Source organism: Homo sapiens, chromosome 22 (assembly GCF_000001405.40).
Source record: "Homo sapiens chromosome 22, GRCh38.p14 Primary Assembly".
Taxonomy (NCBI): Eukaryota; Metazoa; Chordata; class Mammalia; order Primates; family Hominidae; genus Homo; species Homo sapiens.
In genome coordinates, this window is record NC_000022.11 from 31,189,016 (window position 1) to 31,207,074 (window position 18,059).

The window sequence follows — 18,059 nt, forward strand, 5'->3', positions numbered from 1 at the left end:
CTGGGGAGGCTGAGGCAGGAGAATGGCGTGAACCCGGGAGGCAGAGCTTGCAGCGAGCTGAGATCGCGCCACTGCACTCCAGCCTGGGTGATGGAGCAAGACTCTGTCTCAAAAAAAAAATGTGTGTGTGTGTGTGTGTGTGTGTGTGTTTGTGTTTGTGTATGTATTTATTAAATTTTATAATTATAAATTTTAAGATTATAAATTATGTATTTTATGTATATATTAACTATACATATATTTAAATGTACAGCTGTTGTATATCTTTTTTTTTTTTTTTTTTTTTTTTTTTGTGGAGACAGCCTTGCTCTCTTGCCCAGGCTGGAGTACAGTGGTGCAGTCTTGGCTCACTTGCAACCTCTGCCTCCTGGGCTCAAGTGGTTCTCCTGTCTCAGCCTCCCAAGTAGCTGGGACTGCAGGAATGCACCACCACGCCCGGCTAATTTTCTTTTTGTATTTTTAGTAGAGATGGGGCTTCGCCATGCTGGCCAAGCTGGTTTCAAACTCCTCACCTCAAGTGATCTGCCCACCCCGACCTCCCAAAGTGCTAGGATTACAGGCGTGAGCCACCATGCCTGGCCCTGTGTCAAATTTTTTTTTTTTTTTTTAGAGACGAAGTCTTGCTTTGTCACCAGGCTGGAGTGCAGTGGCACAATCTCGGCTCACTGCAATCTCTGCCTCCCAAGTTCAAGCAATTCTCCTGCCTCAGCCTCCCGGGTAGCTGGGATTACAGGTGCACCCAGCTAATTTTTGTATTTTTAGTAGAGAGAGGTTTTCACCATGTTGGCCAGGATGGTCTCGATCTTCTGACCTCGTTATCTGCCCGCCTCGGCCTCCCATAGTGCTGGGATTACTGGTGTGAGCCACCATGCCTGCTATCAATTTTTTTTTTAAAGGCAGAATGCCATTGGAAAGAACACAGACTCTAAAATGAAACAGATGCTTCCAGTCTGGATGGTGCATCCCTGAGCAAATCTGCTAGCTTCCCTGTACTTTGGTTTCCTCATCTGTAAGATGGAGATGATGGTACTGCCTCATAGGTTAATGTGACCGTCCAGTGACATTAAGAAATGAAAAGGTATTCAGCCACAGCGTGGCACACAGTACAGTCATGCAGTACATAATGACATTTTGGTCAACAATGGATTACATATCCAACAGCGGTTCCATAAGATGATGATGGACCTGAAAAGTTCCTATAATCTAGTGATTTTAAAATGTTATAGAGCAGTGCGTTACCTTTTCTGTGTTAGGTATGTTGGATTTTTTGTTTGTTTGTTTGTTGTTTTTTTGAGGAGTCTCACTCTGTTGCCCAGGCTGGAGTGCAGTGGCGTGATCTTGGCTCACTGCAACCTCTGCCTCCCAGGTTCAAACGATTCTCCTGCTTCAGCCTCCCGAGAAGCTGGGATTACACATACGTGCCACCACACCTGACTAATTTTTGTATTTTTAGTAGAGACGGGGTTTTACCATGTTGGCCAGGCTGGTCTTGAACTCCTGATCTCAGGTGATCCAACCGCCTCAGCCTTCCAAAGTGCTGGGATTACAGGCGTGAGCCACCACGCCCAGCCTGGTTTTTGGTTTTTTTTGAGATGGAGTCTCACTGCGTCACCCATGCTGGAGTGCAGTAGCACTCCAGATTGAGTAGCACGATCTCAGCTCACTGCAACCTCCACCTCCCAGGTTCAAGTGATTCTCGTGCTTCAGCCTCCTATGTAGCTGGGATTACAGGCATGTGCCACCACACATGGCTAGTTTTTGTATTTTTAATAGAGATGGGGTTTCACCATGTTGGCCAGGCTGGTCTCGAACTCCTGACCTCAAATAATCTGCCCACCTCAGCTCCCAAAGTGCTGGGATTACAGGCATGAGCCACCACACCTTGGCTCTATGTTAGGTATGTTTAAATACACAAATATTTACCACTCTGTTACAGTTACCTATGATACTCACATGCTATTCAGGTTTGTAGCTTAGGAGCAATAGGCTATACTATGTAGCCTAGGTGTGTAGTAAGCTATTTCAGCTAGGTTTGTGTAAGTACACTCTGTGATGCTCACAATGATGAAATTGCCTAATGACACATTTCTCAGAATTATCCCTGTCGTTCAGTGATACATGACTATCGTTGCTTAATAAATGGGAGGAATGGTCGTTGTTATAAAGCCTGACTTTCCCCTGAGGGTCATTCATTCACCTCCACTTCTCCCCTAGAGTCTTTAAGGGAACTTGCCAGTGGAGATCTGCCATGATTTGGGGTTATTCTCCACTCAGTTTAGAATGACATTGCAAGATTAATGTTGGAGTCAGATGTTATGGCCAGGAAGATTGTGTATTTGGTTTGTGAAGCTAAACTGTGGTTCAGGAATTGGAAAAGGAACTATCCTTTGAGTTCAAAGTGTACTCAGCTAAAGATACTTGGTATGTGAGGTACAGAAGCCATGCCTGCATTTTCCACTGTCCTGGCCTACATAGTAGGTACACAGTAGATATGTGTTAACTAAATAAACGAGAGAAAGAAATTAAAAATGTGGGCCAGACACGGTGGCTCACACCTTTAATCCCAGCACTTTGGGAGGCCAAGGTGGGCGGATCACCTGAGGTCAGGAGTTTGAGACCAGCCTGACTAACACGGTGAAACCCCGTTTCTGCTAAAAATACAAAAAATTAGCTGGGCGTGGTGGCACACACCTATAATCCCAGCTACTCAGGAGGCTGAGACAGGAGAATCGCTTGAACCTGGGAGGTGGAGGTTGCAGTGAGCTGAGTGAGCTGCACTCCAGCTTGGGCAACAAGAACAAAACTTCGTCTCAAAAAAAAAAAAAAAAAAAAGTGGAGTTGAATACTTTTCTTTCAATTCTGTAGATATCATTTTTTTTTTGTATGTGGTGTTAGATTATAGAAAGGGCAATGAACTAGAAGTCAGGAGACTTTTTTTTTTAATCCTGATGCAGTTCATTTTATGTTTCTGAGCTTTGGTTTCCTCATTTGAAAATGGAGAGAGATTGGACAGCAGCTCTCTAAGCTGAAGGTAACCCTTTCTGTCAAGTAGCATCCCCATCCTTTCTATTACTTAAAGATGCTTTTAGAGTAGACCTGAACTTTTAAGCTGCTTCCTGCTAGGAGAGTTCTCAAGGATGAGGACAGCCTGAAGATTTTGTTAAACTGGATCTGGACTACCTGAGAGTCCACACATCCCTTGTGAGCCCGAGGAGACTATGAACCCACTGAAATTGAGTGTAAAATAGTGTGTAGTACATGTGTATGTGAATGCCCCCATCAATTTTTTGCACAGGGTGTCCTTAGCTTTTATTGGATTCCTTCAGATGTTGTAACCTCTCACAGGGTGATTTGTAGAGAAGCTGGGTCTGTGTGGTCTGAGCCCTGGGGATTTCACATATACTGAGATCTCAGGGGCAGAGGCTGGGGTCTTATCTCCATTGCGTTATTTATTTTCTGTGATTTTTACCCCAGTTTTTTTTTAATTTCCGATACCAGTAATCCCTACAGAACCTCAATGGGCATGCAGTGCTCCATAGTTTACTCCTGTTTTCTCATTCTGCTACTACCACTCCACCCATCAAGTGTTTCTGCTAATGAAAACATTTTTCTTCCTTTCCCCTTTTCTCCTTCTCCTTGATGACTGGTTGCCCTGGGGACTCTGGCAGTTGGCCGTGTTTACATCAGGTAAGATGCATTTCATTTTACTTTGTCTTTCATCAGCTCTGGTTGCACAAGAGAGCCCTAGTCTCAGGAGACTGCTTTCAGAAGCTGCAATCTGCCCTGCTTGTGGGCTCATTTGCTTACTTACCCCCACAGCCTTCTTTACATACCTGTCCACTGACAGACACTTGATGAAATCGGGATGGTCCTAATTCTGCCACAGAGGGCCTTTTTGGATCTCAGTTACTCATTTATAAATTGGATTGGATTGATAGTATGTTAGTTAGGTCCTTTTTATTTTTGAGATTCTGCTTCTATTAAAACAGTGCCTCCTATCATATCAACAGTCCCCCAGCCCTTAAAGGTTATGAAAATATTAGGAAGGGGAAAATTTTTTTGGTGTCAACAAAGAGCTTTTGTGAGGAGAGAAAAGTCTATTTTCCTAGCTTTAGCACCTACTTGGTGAGACAGAGCTGGGCCTGGCATTCACAAGTGGCTGTGAATAATCACAGCCTGCTGAAAGTCTCCCTGGTCGTCAGCAGTAGAGTACCACACTCGTAGGTGGCCTGGGAATGTGGGGGAGGACAGAAGTTCCAGACTGCTAAAGCTTCAGAATCTGGATGGGAGAAAGAAGGTGGGAACAGGGCTGCACATTCTGTCCCCAGCGGGACCTGGTAGTACATATTGACTATGAGTTTATGAAGAACACATAACACATTAAGTTTTGGAGCTATGAACAGTAAGAGTAGTAAATAAAATCATTCAGTGCTGCCATCTCCTCAGCCCTGAAGTCCTAGATTCATGTTTATAGAATGTCTATAAAAACACATTTTGGCCGGGTGTGGTGGCTCACACCTATAATTCCAGCACGTAGGGAGGCCAAGGCAGGTGGATCACTTGAGGCAAGGAGTTTGAGAACAGCCTGGCCAATATGGCAAAACCCCGTCTCTACAAAAAATATAAAAATTAGCTGGGCGTGGTGGTGCACGCCTATAGTCCGAGCTACTAGGGAGGCTGAGGCACGAGAATCGCTTGAATCTGGGAGGCAGAGGTTGCAGTGAGCTGAGATTGCACCACTGCACTCCAGCCTGGGTGACATAGTGAGACTCTGTTTCGAGAAAAAAAACCAAAAAACCGAAAAAAAAATCAAAAACAAGCAAAAAACAAACAAAAACAAACCAAAAACATTTTTTATCACTTGTTTTTTTAAGAAAATTAATTTTTTTTTTTTTTTGAGACAGTCTCATTCTGTCGCCCAGGCTAGAGTGCAATGGTGAGATCTCGGCTCACTGGAACCTCCGCCTCCCGGGTTCAAGCGATTCTTGTGCCTCAGCCTCCTGGGTAGCTGGGATTACAGGTGCACACCACCACACCCGGCTAGTTTTTTTGTCTTTTTAGTAGAGACAACGGAGTTTCACCATGTTCCCCACGCTGGTCTTGAACTGCTGACCTCAGGTGATCCACCCGCCTCAGCTTCCCAAAGTGCTGGGATTACAAGCGTGAGCCACCGCGCCTGGCCTAAACAAAAAATTTTAATGTAACCAGTGAAAGGGCCTGAGAAACCCAAAACGGGATTTTTTTTATATTGAAAGAAATAGGTGAATGCAAAAAATCAATGAAAGTACACAAAAAGCATTAAGCAAATTTAGATAATGAGCAAAACCTATCCTTTAGCATGTGGTAAGTCACCAGAAAATGATCAGCTTATCTCCTGATTCTGATGCCTGGGATACACAGTTGTTGGGAAAATGCTATAAAAATGAGAAATTGGCCGGGCGCGGTGGCTCATGCCTGTGATCCCAGCACTTTGGCAGACCAAGGGAGGAAGATCACGAGGTCAGGAGTTTGAGACCAGCCTGGCCAACATGGTGAAACCCTGTCTCTACTAAAAATACAAAAATTAGCTGGGCGCAGTGGTGGGCGCCTGTAATCCCAGCTACTTGGAAGGCTGAGACAGGAGAATTGCTTGAACCCAGGAGGCAGGGGTTGCAGTGACCTGAGATCATGCCACTACACTCCAGCCTGGGTGACAGAGCAAGACTCTGTCTGGGGAAAAAAAAATGAGAAATCACAGAAAGAAGAATATGACTGACAGGAAAATACAGTTGCTCCTACTGGGAAGGTGGGGATTTAAAGTTTGCTGTACTTACACCAGCAGCCTAAATTGAGGCTGGGCATGTCAGACTTGACAGCCCCAGACTTGCAGTTTCCCTCCCCCTGTGTTGCTAGGAGGCCCTAGAGAGAAACAAAGCATGAAGAAGCCTAATTGTGATGATTTTTTTTCTTTTTTTTGAGACAGAGTCTTGCTCTGTTGCCCAGGCTGGAATGCAGTGGTGCAATCTCGGCTCACTGCAACCTCCGCCTCCCGGGTTCAAGCGATTCTCCTCCCTCAGCCTCCCGAGTAGCTGGAACTACAGGCATGCGCCACCATGTCTGGCTAATTTTTGTATTTTTAGTAGAGACGGGGTTTCACCTTGTTGGCCAGGCTTCTCTTGAACTCCTGACCTCAGGTGATCCACCCACCTCCGCCTCCCAAAGCGCTGGGATTACAGGCATGAGCACCGCACCCGGCCAATTATGATGATATTTAAAGGCAATTTTGATTTTACCACTGGTAGGTATTTGCTGAATGGTAGGAGAAGGAATGGGAGTCAGGTTCCTTGAGATGTTCCCTGCTCATGCTGGTGTTTCCCAGTTTGAGGCCTCTGGCCTGTGTTGTTCTGGTGGCTCTGGCTGATCACTCTGGTGGGTCTTGGGCCATCCACATGCATTTTTCTCTCCTGTTTGCAGTGGTTGGAGACCAGACCTAACAGACAGGTGTGTCCTGTTTGCAAAGCTGGCATCAGCCGAGACAAGGTCATCCCCCTCTATGGAAGGGGCAGCACTGGGCAACAGGACCCCAGGTGAGGACTCAGGATGCCTCTCCCAACCACTTCTCCCCTTGGATGTGAATTCACTCCCATTCAGCATCCCCTAACCCCACCCTTTACTTAGTACTAGATGATCTCTTGGTTTCGAAGCAGTCTCATCCAGATGAGAGTCAGCTAGGAGGGGAGGGAAGAGAGGGGATCCAAGTTGCCACTTGCTAGGACCCAGCAGTGAACAGACATCACAATCACAAGTGTGCAGAGCCCTGTGAAAGAGCATTTCTGCAACCTGGGAAGCAGGATATGTAGCAGGAGAGGCTCCAGGGAGCAGGGTTGCTGCATCAGTGATGTATAAAGCATGGCGGGAGGGGAAACAGGATCTGGGTGACTTTGTGGAGTTTGGGATTTCTAGAAATGGAGATGTGCATGGGTCCAGCATTCAACAAACACAAGTATTGAGAGCCCTTCATGGTCTGGCATCCCCAAGCTCTCCAGAAGAATCTCTTACCTTTATCCAGCTACCCTAGCATATGCTGTGTACCCGACATATTAGACTTTCTCTTAAAGGGACTTGCTCTTTCACATTTATCAGCCTGTGTATTTGCTCTCTCTTCTGCCTTCTTCCCTCCCCAGTCCTGCTCAAGCTACCCCTCTACCCCCACCTGCTCCTCTAACTTCTACTCATCTCTTATGAGCAGCCCTAAAGTTCCCTCTTCCTTGAAGTGGTCTGTCTTCTTCACATTAGTTGCTCTCACCCAGTTCCCACCACAGTGTCATATGACTGGCTTTATCCCCCTTGAAACCATGAACACTTCAAGGGTTGGGTCTGTCATCAGTATTACAGCATCCTGCATAATGCTTATTGTATAACTAAGCCCTCAATTGAGTATTCATGGGTTGAGTGATTTGAGGGGGTGAGACTCAAAAATAATAGCATTGGGTATTTGCCCAAGAATAGTAGGAGATAGAGCTGAAGTTAATAGGGGAAGGTCAGAGAAACCATGAACCTCAGCCCTTACTGCTGACAACCCACCCTCTGTTCCAGTATGGATTTGGGATTTCTGTTATCTGTAACAGGCCCAGGGAAGGCATCTGGCCATGATTCCTAACCGATCTGAGTCAGGATCTCTGTAAGAGGAGTAGGCTGTAGTGCAATCTGGTGAATATCTCATAACGAGTTGATTTTCTCCCTGGTTCTCTATACACGTGGGAAGAACAGTTGCAGGTAGAATGAAGAGTTCGTATTTGGAGAATTAATCTGGCATAAGTTCATGTCCTGGACAAGAAAGAGGCTATGGCCCTGACCCTGTTGGTAAAGAGCTCCAGGTCCTCACAGGGAGCAACTCAAAGCAATTTGTAATAGACTTATTTTACACCATTTCTGTTTCAGAGAGAAGACCCCTCCTCGTCCTCAAGGACAGAGGCCAGAGCCGGAGAATAGAGGGGTGAGGAACATTCTAGGAGAAGCTTCTACAAATGAGCTGATGGCTTTAGAAGTTTCCTTCTTAGCCTTACAATTTTTCTCCTTGATTATAAAAGTAAAGGAAAACTTGTAAAATACAGAAAGGAAAAGAGGGGGAAAAAAATCACTTATAACCACACCAATCCAGAGGTAACCACTGGAAACATTTTGGTTCTATTTTCTTTTCCATTTTTCTATAATTATATATACACACAAATTTTACAAATCTGTGCGTGTATTTTACAGATGTGTGTATACTTTTTACAGTTTTTGTTTTTTGTTTTTTACAATATGTGGCTCCTGTTTTGTAACCCTCTCTTAAAATTTCATTTGTTCTACAGATACTTAGTACCTTCTTTGTGTGAGTGGGAGTCTTTTAGTATTATCTTGAGATTTTACATTGCCAGCAATATTTTACTAACTAGCTGTTTAGCATTTAGTTGTGTGGATTTAACATAATTCAATCCTTTGTTAGACATTAGCGGCTTTCTTTTTCCAAGTTAAAAAAAATCCTGATGAACTTACAGATAAATTTGTGAGCATGTTCATTATTATTTTATTAGGATAAGACAGGGTCTCACTCTGTAGCCCAGGCTGGAGTGCAGTGGTGTGATCACAGTTCACTGTAGCCTCGACCTCCTGGGCTCAGTCTACCTCAGCCTCCCATGTAGCTGGGACCACAGGTGCACGGCACCATGCCCAGCTAGTTTTTTGAGTTTTTTTTTGTCTTTCTTTTTTTTGTTTTGTTTTGTTTGGGTAGAAACAAGGTCTCACTATGTTGCCCAGGCTGGTCTCTAACTCCTGGGCTCAAGCAATCCTCCCACCTCAGCCTCCCAAAGTGTTAGGATTACAGGCGTGAACCACTGTACCTGGCTTAGGATAAATTCTTAGAAGTAAGATTACTGGCTAAAAAAAAATTGCACATTTGTCTCTAGTGGTCTAGTGGCTAGGAACAAAAACATTTACATTTTTTGCATATTTACATCAAATGTTACTCTTAAAAAAATTCTGTTAAAATGTTAAAGAAATTTTAAAAGCAAAATATTTACCCACCATTGCCAAGAGCCCAGAACAAGTATATTCTCATATCCTCATGTTCTCTTCATCTGTAGGCTGTGCATATGTATTTTTATGTAGCCATCACCATTCTGTTTGCTTTAAAATTTAATTTTGGCAGGTTTTCCATGATGCTCTGAAGTGTCCTCTTTATTATTTAGGCTGCCATTTATCCTATTGAGTTTTTTATTATTTTTTATTTTTCCATGCTATTGCTGGGAACCCATTGAGTTTTGGTTCATTGTAATTTGGGTTTTCCTCATCGAAGGACCTTTTAGTTGTTTCCCCATTTTGCTGTTTAAATAATGCTACAATAACCATCTTTGCACACTTTTTTTTTTTTTTTTTTTTTTGAGATGAAGTTTCACTCTTGTTGCCCAACTGGAGTGTAGTAGTGCGATCTCGGCTCACCACAGCCTCTGCCTCCCGGGTTTAAACAATTCTTCTGCCTCAGCCTCCAGAGTAGCTGGGATTATAGGCATGGGCCACCATGCCCAGCTAATTTTTGTATTTTTAGTAGAGACGAGGTTTCTCCATGTTGGTCAGGCTGGTCTCGAACTCCCAAGCTCAGATGATCCGCCCTCCTTGGCCTCCCAAAGTGCTGGGATTACAGGCGTGAGCCACCGCGCACTGCCACTTTCTTTTTTTTTTTTTTTTTTTTTTTTTTTGAGTTTGAATAATGGCATTTTATTAGGATTTCCAGGAGTAGGATTATTGAGTCAGGGATCTTGAAAGAAATTAAGGTTCTCGGCTGGGCGTGGTGGCTCACACCTGTAATCTCAGCACTTTGGGAGGCTGAGGCGGGTGGATCACCTGAGGTCAGGAATTCGAGACCAGCCTGACCAATATGGTGAAACCCTGTCTCTGCTTTCTTAAAAACATAAAAATTAGCCGGGTGTGGTGGCATGTGCCTGTAGTCCCAGCTACTCGGGAGGCTGAAACAGGAGAATCACTTGAACTCGGGAGGCAGAGGTTGCAGTGAGCTGAGATCACACCACTGCACTCCAGCCTTGGCGACAGAGCAAGACTCTGTCTCAAAAAAAAAAAAAAAGAAAGAAAGAAATTAAGGTTCTCTTCTCCGGATTACCCTTAATAATAATACTAGCAGTGAACACTTGTTGAATGGTTACTATATGGAAATAACTATATGTTAAGAGCTTTATATGCATGATCTCATTTAAGCCTCACATCAACTCATTTAACGGAGGAGGAAACTGAGGCCCAGATAGGTAAAGTGATCTGTCCAGGGCCACACGTACAGTGCTGAAACCCAGATCTGGCTGGTATTGAAGTCTCTGCTCTTGACCACCAGGTGACACCACTTTAACATTCCTAGGTTTTGGTTTCCTACAGAGCATTAGCAACTAATGCAGGAATCAGAGGCCCCCAGAAGCCAGAGGCCCTGGCCTTGTTGACCAAAGTGCATACCTCTAGCATTTATAAGCACCTGCAGCTACTAGCGATGTTTTTTTGCATACTCTGGCCCAGGAACATAATCCCACCAAATGTATGGACTGGTGAGATCATAAAGATGTTGCTAGAAGGGAAGCAGAACGGTTAGTCCTCAGGATTGCACTGAATGAATCTGTGGTTCCTGATGAAACAATTGCACCTTCCCAAGTAAGGCAGCCTCAGTCCCAGGAGCCATTAGATTCAACCATGAACTGAGTAGGAGGCATTTTGTATTGAGGAGATGGAAACTCTTTGTTTTCCCTCCCTTTAGGTTTGCCCTCTCATTAAGTCAGCTGTTAGGCTTTATAGGTGATGCCATCTGGCAAGAAGTTTGGAACTAGATGCCAGGCTGATCAGTGTGTGATGGAGAGCAGCTATTTTTGTGACTTGCAAAAAACTCATAAATGAAGGCCATTGAGCTCTTTGTGAAGAGCATTTGACCCAATAGTCTGTCTGCTTTTTATTATTTTTAAAATCATTTGTTCTAAACCTCTCATCAGGGGTGCAGGGGAAGAGAAAAAAATATTTGAAAGATGCGCACAGTAATTAAGAGCATGAAGGCCGGGCACAGTGGCTCTGGCCTCTAATCCCAGCACTTTGGGAGGCTGAGGTGGGAGGATCACTTGAGCCCAGGAGTTTGAGACCAGCCTGAGCAACAAAGTGAGACCCTATCTGTACAAAAAATTTAAAAATTAGCAAAGCATGGAGGGGTACACCTGTGGTCCCAGCTACTCAAGAGGCTGAGATGGGAGCATTGCTTGAGCCTGGGAGGTTGAGTCTACAGTGAGCCATGATTGCACCATTGCACTCCAGGCTTGGTGACAGAGCGAGACCCTGTCTCAAAAAAAAAGAAAAGAAAAAGAAAAGCATGTGTTTTCAGATCAAATTGACCTAGTTTTAGATCTAAACTGTACTCCTTGGTCAAGTTATTTCACCTCTCCAAGCCTCAGTTTGGTCATCTGTGAAATGCAGATGAAGCCAATGTAAAAATTAAACATGATTTATATGTCCTAGTGCTTAACATGGTGCCTAGCACAGAGCTCACGCTTTAAAAAAGGGAGTTATTTATTCACAGTATTGTTCCTGCTGAATCTTTTCATGTGAAAGATGATGCAGTGTAGAACATGCACATGGAAAGAAAACTGAGGGTGATATACCAAACTGCTGATAGTGGTTATTTCAGAGGTAAAGTGGAGTGGCTGCGAAGTGGGAAGGTGAATAGAAGATCTCTGACTCTGTCAATTATTTCTGTAATATGTGAGTTTCTTATAGCAAGTATATATTACTTTTATAACCAGAAAACATTATAGTGTTTTAAAATGTAAAAATTCTATGTAACAGTATTAAAAGAAATTTTAATCCGTAACTTGTCCATATACCTACATATTGTCATGTAGTTGTGACCACAGTGTTCAAACAATTTTGTCTGATAACTTGGTCACAAGAGTTGTTCAGTGTTACCGCTTAAGTCAGGGTAATGGTTCTTTGAATGCATGTATCAAGATTTTGATCATGACTTCCATTGTTGGCTAATTAGAGTTTCAACATTTTTGCTATTAAAGATAATGTGTAGCTTGTTTGATGTTCCCTTGGGCACAGGGGTGGCTGTCAATATTGCTCCTATAAAGCATGTAGAAGGTGTTACTAGCTAATGTGGGACTATGGAAAATATCCTCAAGCCCTGTGAGTGCTGACTTATGTCAGCAGAGTGTTTCACACTGGGTCAGAGCCAGTCCTTTTTGGCCCATTCATAGATTCTTAGCTGGAAGCTAAGGCTAAAAGGGCAGAGGGCTTGCCAGAGTTCCTCTACTTCAGGGTATATATGGGAGGAAAAGCTGTCCCCCACCTTCGAAACATGTGGCACAAGGTAGGGAGAAGAGGCAGGTGCCACATGCAAGACAACGTGAGGTATGTTGAGTTTTGACAGGCACAGGAGAAACCTGCCTGATTCTCCTGCCCTTAATTGCCTTTCTTCCACACAGGGATTTCAAGGATTTGGATTTGGAGATGGTGGCTTCCAGATGTCTTTTGGAATTGGGGCATTTCCCTTTGGGATATTTGCCACAGCATTTAATATAAATGATGGGCGGCCTCCTCCAGGTAAGACCCTATTTCCTTGAGAAATTAGGAAGATATCTTAGTAATATTGCTTGAAAGCTCCTTGGAATTCAGCAGTATATAAGTTACAGATAATTGTCACTACATGGATAATCAGCCTTTTCAAAATATCTTAAGCTGTTTTTAGATCACTTACAGACATGGTAACAATGCTGAGCACTTACCAACTATTAGGCATGCATATATATAGCACTTTCCATTCCAAGCTCAGGGGATCATCACAACCACCCTATGGAACAGGTGTGTGATTAGCTGCGTTTAACAGATCAGAAAATGCTCAGTAATGTTACCAAGACATACCCCATGTCTATAAAATGGAAAACTGTAAGTGATACTCAGCTGAGGAAAAGCCTAGTTCTGCACATTTACTTCCCACTTTGACCATTTGGGGGCCTGGAAATGTGAGATGACCCATAAGGAGTGAAGGCATCTCCATTCTCTGGCATCTCTGTCTAGCTTCCTTCAGGACACAACATGAGGCTGGTCAGAAGCAGCCTCAGCCCTGTGGGAACCATGCCTAGGTCTACCAACTGCTGCTGCAGTTCTCCCTCCTACTGCTTGAAAGTGCCATCCGCATTCGGTATAGAGCCCTTGCTCTATAGGTGCAAGCCACCTCTATGAGGTGGGTGCCTTGAACTCTTATCACAGTCTGACACCCAAGCCAAGATCCTTACTGTGGAGCCTGCAGAGATGCCATGATCGGTTGAGCTCTGCCTGCACTTGTTGGAGCTTCATGTGCACTGGACACAGCATATGGTACAGAAGTGACCATTGTGTGGTTCACGCCAAGAGCTTATGCCCTAAAGATGGTAACTGGGTCATCCCAGTTATTCTCATCCCCACCCTGGTCCTTGGTACACAGCAGGTGATCTATAAGTCTTTCTTGACTGCCTGCCTGCCTGCCTGTCTGTCTTCGTGAATCCATCAGAGCATCTAGCTGAGGAATCTCAGCACCAAGATATCTTGGGAATGCCTTTTTTTTTTTTTTTTTTTTTTTGAGATGGAGTCTCGCTCTGTCCCCCAGGCTGGAGTGCAGTGGCACAATCTCGGCTCACTGCAAGTTCCACCTCCCAGGTTTACGCCATTCTCCTGCCTCAGCCTCCCGAGTAGCTGGGACTACAGGCGCCTGCCACCACGCCTGGCTAATTTTTTTGTATTTTTTTGTAGAGACAGGGTTTCACTGTGTTAGCCAGGATGGTCTCGATCTCCTGACCTCGTGATCCGCCCGCCTGGGCCTCCCAATGTGCTGGGATTACAGGCGTGAGCCACCGCGCCCGGCCCTGGGGATGCCCTTTCTTACTTTATCTGCCTTGAAGGTTTATCCTCTGTTCACATTTGTTTTTCAGAGGAAGTATACCCCAAAAGATAGGGTGTACTCTGCCCTGAAGAAAGGGCAAATTCCTGTGAAGCCAGCAAGAACCTGCCTGATAGCTTGCATCCTTCTAACCTGGTCGAAGGCTAACCTTGGATTCCCCAGCTAAGCAGAGTTCCACAGCCAGGCTAGACTCTGGATTACTTTATCCCCCTGCCACAGTCACAGTTTTCCCTTGTCATGCTTGGTACAATTTGCCCATCCTGGACACAGATTCTTTTATCCTCCTTCCCCCAAAGTCAGGACAGGGAGCTCTAAATGGTAGCTTTTCCTAAAGCAGAGAGGAGTGGAGACTTAGGTTCTCACCCCAGTTCTGCCTCTACCTTGAAAAACAAGTCATTTTGCCTGTCTGGATCCTAGTTCTCTTCTGGAAAAGGAAGGCAATCCCTGTGGGGCCCTTGAGAGGCAGTGTGTGGAGAGGCTGCAGAGCTCTGCCACTAATTTCTGAGCCTTTCAATCTTGAACAGGTCACCTCAAACCTATGTTTCAGCTGCTTCCTACTCAAAATGGAAATAATAATATCCACCAAATAATAACATGTACAAAACACTTAGCAGATAGAAGATACTTAACAAATAGTAGGCTTGCTTTCATTATTTCCTGCAAGAGTTTCCTGTTAATCACCTGGTTTATTTGCATGTGCAGGCCAAACCTTTTATGATAAATTGGACCGTGTCTTGTCCTTATTGTTATTGTTCCACATAGTTTCATTTTGCCTGATATTATTTGGGGTTTAGAAATTTTTTTTGGCTGGGCGCGATGGCTCATGCCTGTAATGCCAACGCTTTGGGAGGCTGAGGTGGGCGGATCATCTGAGGTCAGGAGTTTGAGACCAGCCTGGCTAACATGGTGAAACCCTGTTCCTACTAAAAATACAAAAAAAAAATTAGCCGGGTGTGGTGGTGCGTGCCTGTAATCCCAGCTACTCAGGAGGCTGAGGCAGCAGAATCGCTTGAACCTAGGAGGTGGAGGTTGCAGTGAGCCGAGATCGTGCCATTGCACTCCAGCCTGGGCAACAAGAGCAAAACTCCACCTCAAAAAGAAAAAAAAAAAAAAAGGCCAGGCATGGTGGCTCATGCCTGTAATCCCAGCACTTTTGGAGGCTGAGGCAGGCGGATCACAAGGTCAGGAGTTCGAGACCAGCCTGACCAACATGGTGAAACCCCGTCTCTACTAAAAATACAAAAATTAGCCAGGCTTGGTGGCGCACACCTGTAATCCCAGCTACTTAGGAGGCTGAGGCAGGAGAATCGCTTGAACCTGGGAAGCGGAGGTTGCAGTGAGCTGAGATCGTGCCACTGCACTCTAGCCTGGGCAACAGAGCGAGACTACATTTCAAAAAAAAAAAAAAGAAATCTTTTTGTGTGTAGGATTCTGATGTTGTAAAGAGATAAAGATTGATGCTGTCAACTTCTGGCCTGAGTGGGCAGTGTGCATAGCTGCAGTGTTCTAATAGCCTGTTTTCTCCTTTCTGTCTCTCCAGCTGTCCCTGGGACACCCCAGTATGTGGACGAGCAGTTCCTGTCACGCCTCTTCCTATTTGTGGCCCTGGTGATCATGTTCTGGCTCCTGATTGCCTAATGCTGGGCTCCTGCCTACATCCGTGGCAGGGCTCTGGACTGGTGACGTGCCACCCCAACTCCTGGTGTTTGGCTTCCTGGCTAATCTTGACTCCTGGAATCAGTGGGATCAGTAACACATCAAGGAGTCTTGTTTCTTCATCAGAGCTTTGGAACTCGAGACCAGTTGGCGATGACCCCTGAATATCGCCACCGCTGTAAACACTCTATAACTTCAGGCCTTGGCATTGAGTCATCTCTCATGGGTGACACCATGAAATCTTGTTTCAGCCAGTTCTGCAGGTCCTGACTCTGCAGAGGGAAGAGGCAGAAAGAGAGAAACTGTCAGAGTATAATTTCACCTGAGTTTAATATTACAGAAACAAAGGGATGCACCAAATGGTATTTCTGGAAATTTTCATGTCTTTAAATACCCCTTGGTAAGTTGCTTCTGAAGCCAGTGGGGGCTCCTCAGATAGAGAGGTTCCCCTTTCAAATCCCAGTGCCGCTCTGTTCTCTTTCCTTCCCCTCCCACTCCCCCTCTTCTTCCTCTGTAGAGATGCAAGAAATTGCTGTCCCATAAAAATCATAATTGCAGTAGCTAAAGCTGGGGTCACTTCGTGAATTCACCAGAGACTCAAAGATCTTTTATTGGCTCTGGGCTGTGCTCAGTGTCTTTGGCCTCAGAGAACAACTTGAATGACTTCCTGGTTTCCTGGCATAAATTATTCCTGGTGAGACATGTGGCTTAACTCACAGGTTTCCCATCAGCTTTCTCCCTAAAACTATGTTCATCTGCCTCTCTCTGCCAGAGAACATACAGCCGAGAATACTGCCGAAGCTGAGACTGACTACTGTGCATTAGGAAAGACCTGGAGTCAGGACTTTGGTGGGATTTGGAGCTCCGAGGCAGTAATAACTGAACAAGCAGCCCTGTCCCCTAGGCTGCAGAAGCTTGAATGCATCCTCTCCCAGAACCTGCCACAGGAAACTGGGGGCTTTGTCAGGTCAGCCCAACTGCATGCAAAAGACCACCATCCTCAGAAGCCAAGTTGTCTTTTATGAAGAGGCAAGGAAAGGGGAAACCCACATGTGACCCTGATTTTGGTATGGCTTGATAGAGTTCCCTGAAAACTCCTTGTATGTGTGCTAAAACCAGGGAAGCATGTGACTGCCAAGCAGGCAACCCCTGATGATTTGTAAAGCCAGGTGGCAGGGCCTTGGGGAGCCCCAGCACAATGATATTGTGTGGTCTTCCCTCCTGTGGAATCGAGGGGAAATTATTCTTCCCAATACCTTGATTTGATTTTCAGTTTCATAAGCTTCTTCCTCTGAATCTTATTGAGGGACTATGGTACCAAGCAGGTAGGACTGTTCACCTGGTGGAACAGTTCTTGCTCTGCCTTCTAGGCTTCATCCCAGAAATCCAGCCTCTTTCTGGAGACCCCAAAGCTGGAGGGAGATGGGCTTTCCTCTGGGCCTCTCTCCTACTTTGCCATCCACACTGCTCCTGGCTAACCCCAGCAATAACCAACAAATGGTAGGAAGCCCCATCTATTGCTTTTTCTCAATTATGACTGCATAGTTTATGGAAACAAAGATCTTGAGGAAGATGAGGGAAGCCCTCCCCTCTTCACAGTCCCCATCTCTTCTCCTTTGTACCTGTCAACACCAGAGTTCAGTGTTTAAACAGACAAAATATAAAGTATTGAGTAGGTGGTTCATATGCCGAATCCACTTGGTAGGAAGAAACCACCAGCTTTATAGTGTGCCTGATAGATTTTAAACATTCCTGGGCACCCACTCAAGAGTGCTCTTTTTATCACCTTCTGGAAATCCGCAAAGTTGCAGGGGCCTCTGGAGTGTCTCTTCTCTAGAGAGAATTGGTGGGACCCCCCTCAGTGCAGTGGCCCCAACTAGTGGAGGGAGAGAGGACTTAAGTCAGATGGACTCAACAGAAATGGGTTTCCAGAAGAATAATGAAAAGTTGTGGGTAGGAAAATGAATCATTTGGACTCTTCAATGAAATGGAGTGAGCCCAGGAGAGCTCAGCCAACAGAGGCACTCTGGGAACCTGTTAGTAAAGCCAGGCTGGCCAAATGCCATTTGATTTTGAACCTCGTAGGTCCCCACTCACCCTCTGCCAGGAGCTAAGTAAGGCAGGAGAGCTGACTTGGGACTCCTGGCTCGGCCCCAACAGGGAGCCCCCTTCCCACCATCCCTCGGCAAGCTCACCACCTCATCCTTCTGCCAAGGCAGCTTTCCTTTCTTTTGTGTGTTTTCTGTGTTCTTAGCCTCCACCCTCCTCCTGCCACCCTTGTGGACTAGGACCAGGTCCTGACCCCAGTCAGAAAATGATGATATGTACAGTGGCACACCTTAACCAGTCACTAATTTTCACTGTTGTGAAAGTGATTTGATTTAGAATTAAACAAATGGTTTTACATTACTATGAGCTTGGACTTCTTGTCTGTGTTGTGGAGGGCGAGTGGGTGGGGAGTAGTCACACT

At 45.1% G+C, this 18,059-nt stretch overlaps 1 protein-coding gene across 6 annotated transcripts in view, besides 4 other annotated features; it reads left to right on the top strand.

The window, feature by feature from the left end:
• RNF185 (ring finger protein 185) overlaps positions 1–18,004 on the top strand; it is a 46,838-nt gene extending 28,834 nt beyond the window's left edge. For 2 of the 6 annotated variants that reach the window (NR_024212.2, NM_152267.4), the window contains 5 exons: positions 3,669–3,687; positions 6,454–6,566; positions 7,921–7,975; positions 12,483–12,600; positions 15,474–18,004. Coding sequence is in view for 2 of the 6 variants with exons in the window: in NM_152267.4 (NP_689480.2) it covers positions 3,669–3,687; positions 6,454–6,566; positions 7,921–7,975; positions 12,483–12,600; positions 15,474–15,571 (403 nt within the window). In the remaining 4 variants the exon portion in view is untranslated. Of the gene's footprint in view, positions 1–3,668; positions 3,688–6,453; positions 6,567–7,920; positions 8,143–12,482; positions 12,601–15,473 lie in introns of all 6 variants that reach the window. The other 4 variants (NR_024209.2, NR_024211.2, NR_024210.2 and 1 more) reach the window with 3 other exon arrangements.
• Positions 5,220–5,903: an origin of replication, noted in NCBI's record as "region spanning amplicons 6-7; peak of nascent strand synthesis determined by quantitative PCR of size-fractionated nascent DNA". NCBI's record gives the evidence for it as "EXISTENCE:fractionation evidence [ECO:0000100][PMID:19815620]".
• Positions 5,220–7,209: a biological region, named in NCBI's record as "origin of replication in RNF185".
• Positions 6,834–7,005: an origin of replication, noted in NCBI's record as "amplicon 9; peak of nascent strand synthesis determined by quantitative PCR of size-fractionated nascent DNA". NCBI's record gives the evidence for it as "EXISTENCE:fractionation evidence [ECO:0000100][PMID:19815620]".
• Positions 6,905–7,209: an origin of replication, noted in NCBI's record as "ori2p amplicon; peak of nascent strand synthesis determined by quantitative PCR of size-fractionated nascent DNA". NCBI's record gives the evidence for it as "EXISTENCE:fractionation evidence [ECO:0000100][PMID:17668008]".
• Positions 18,005–18,059: the final 55 nt, after the last annotated feature.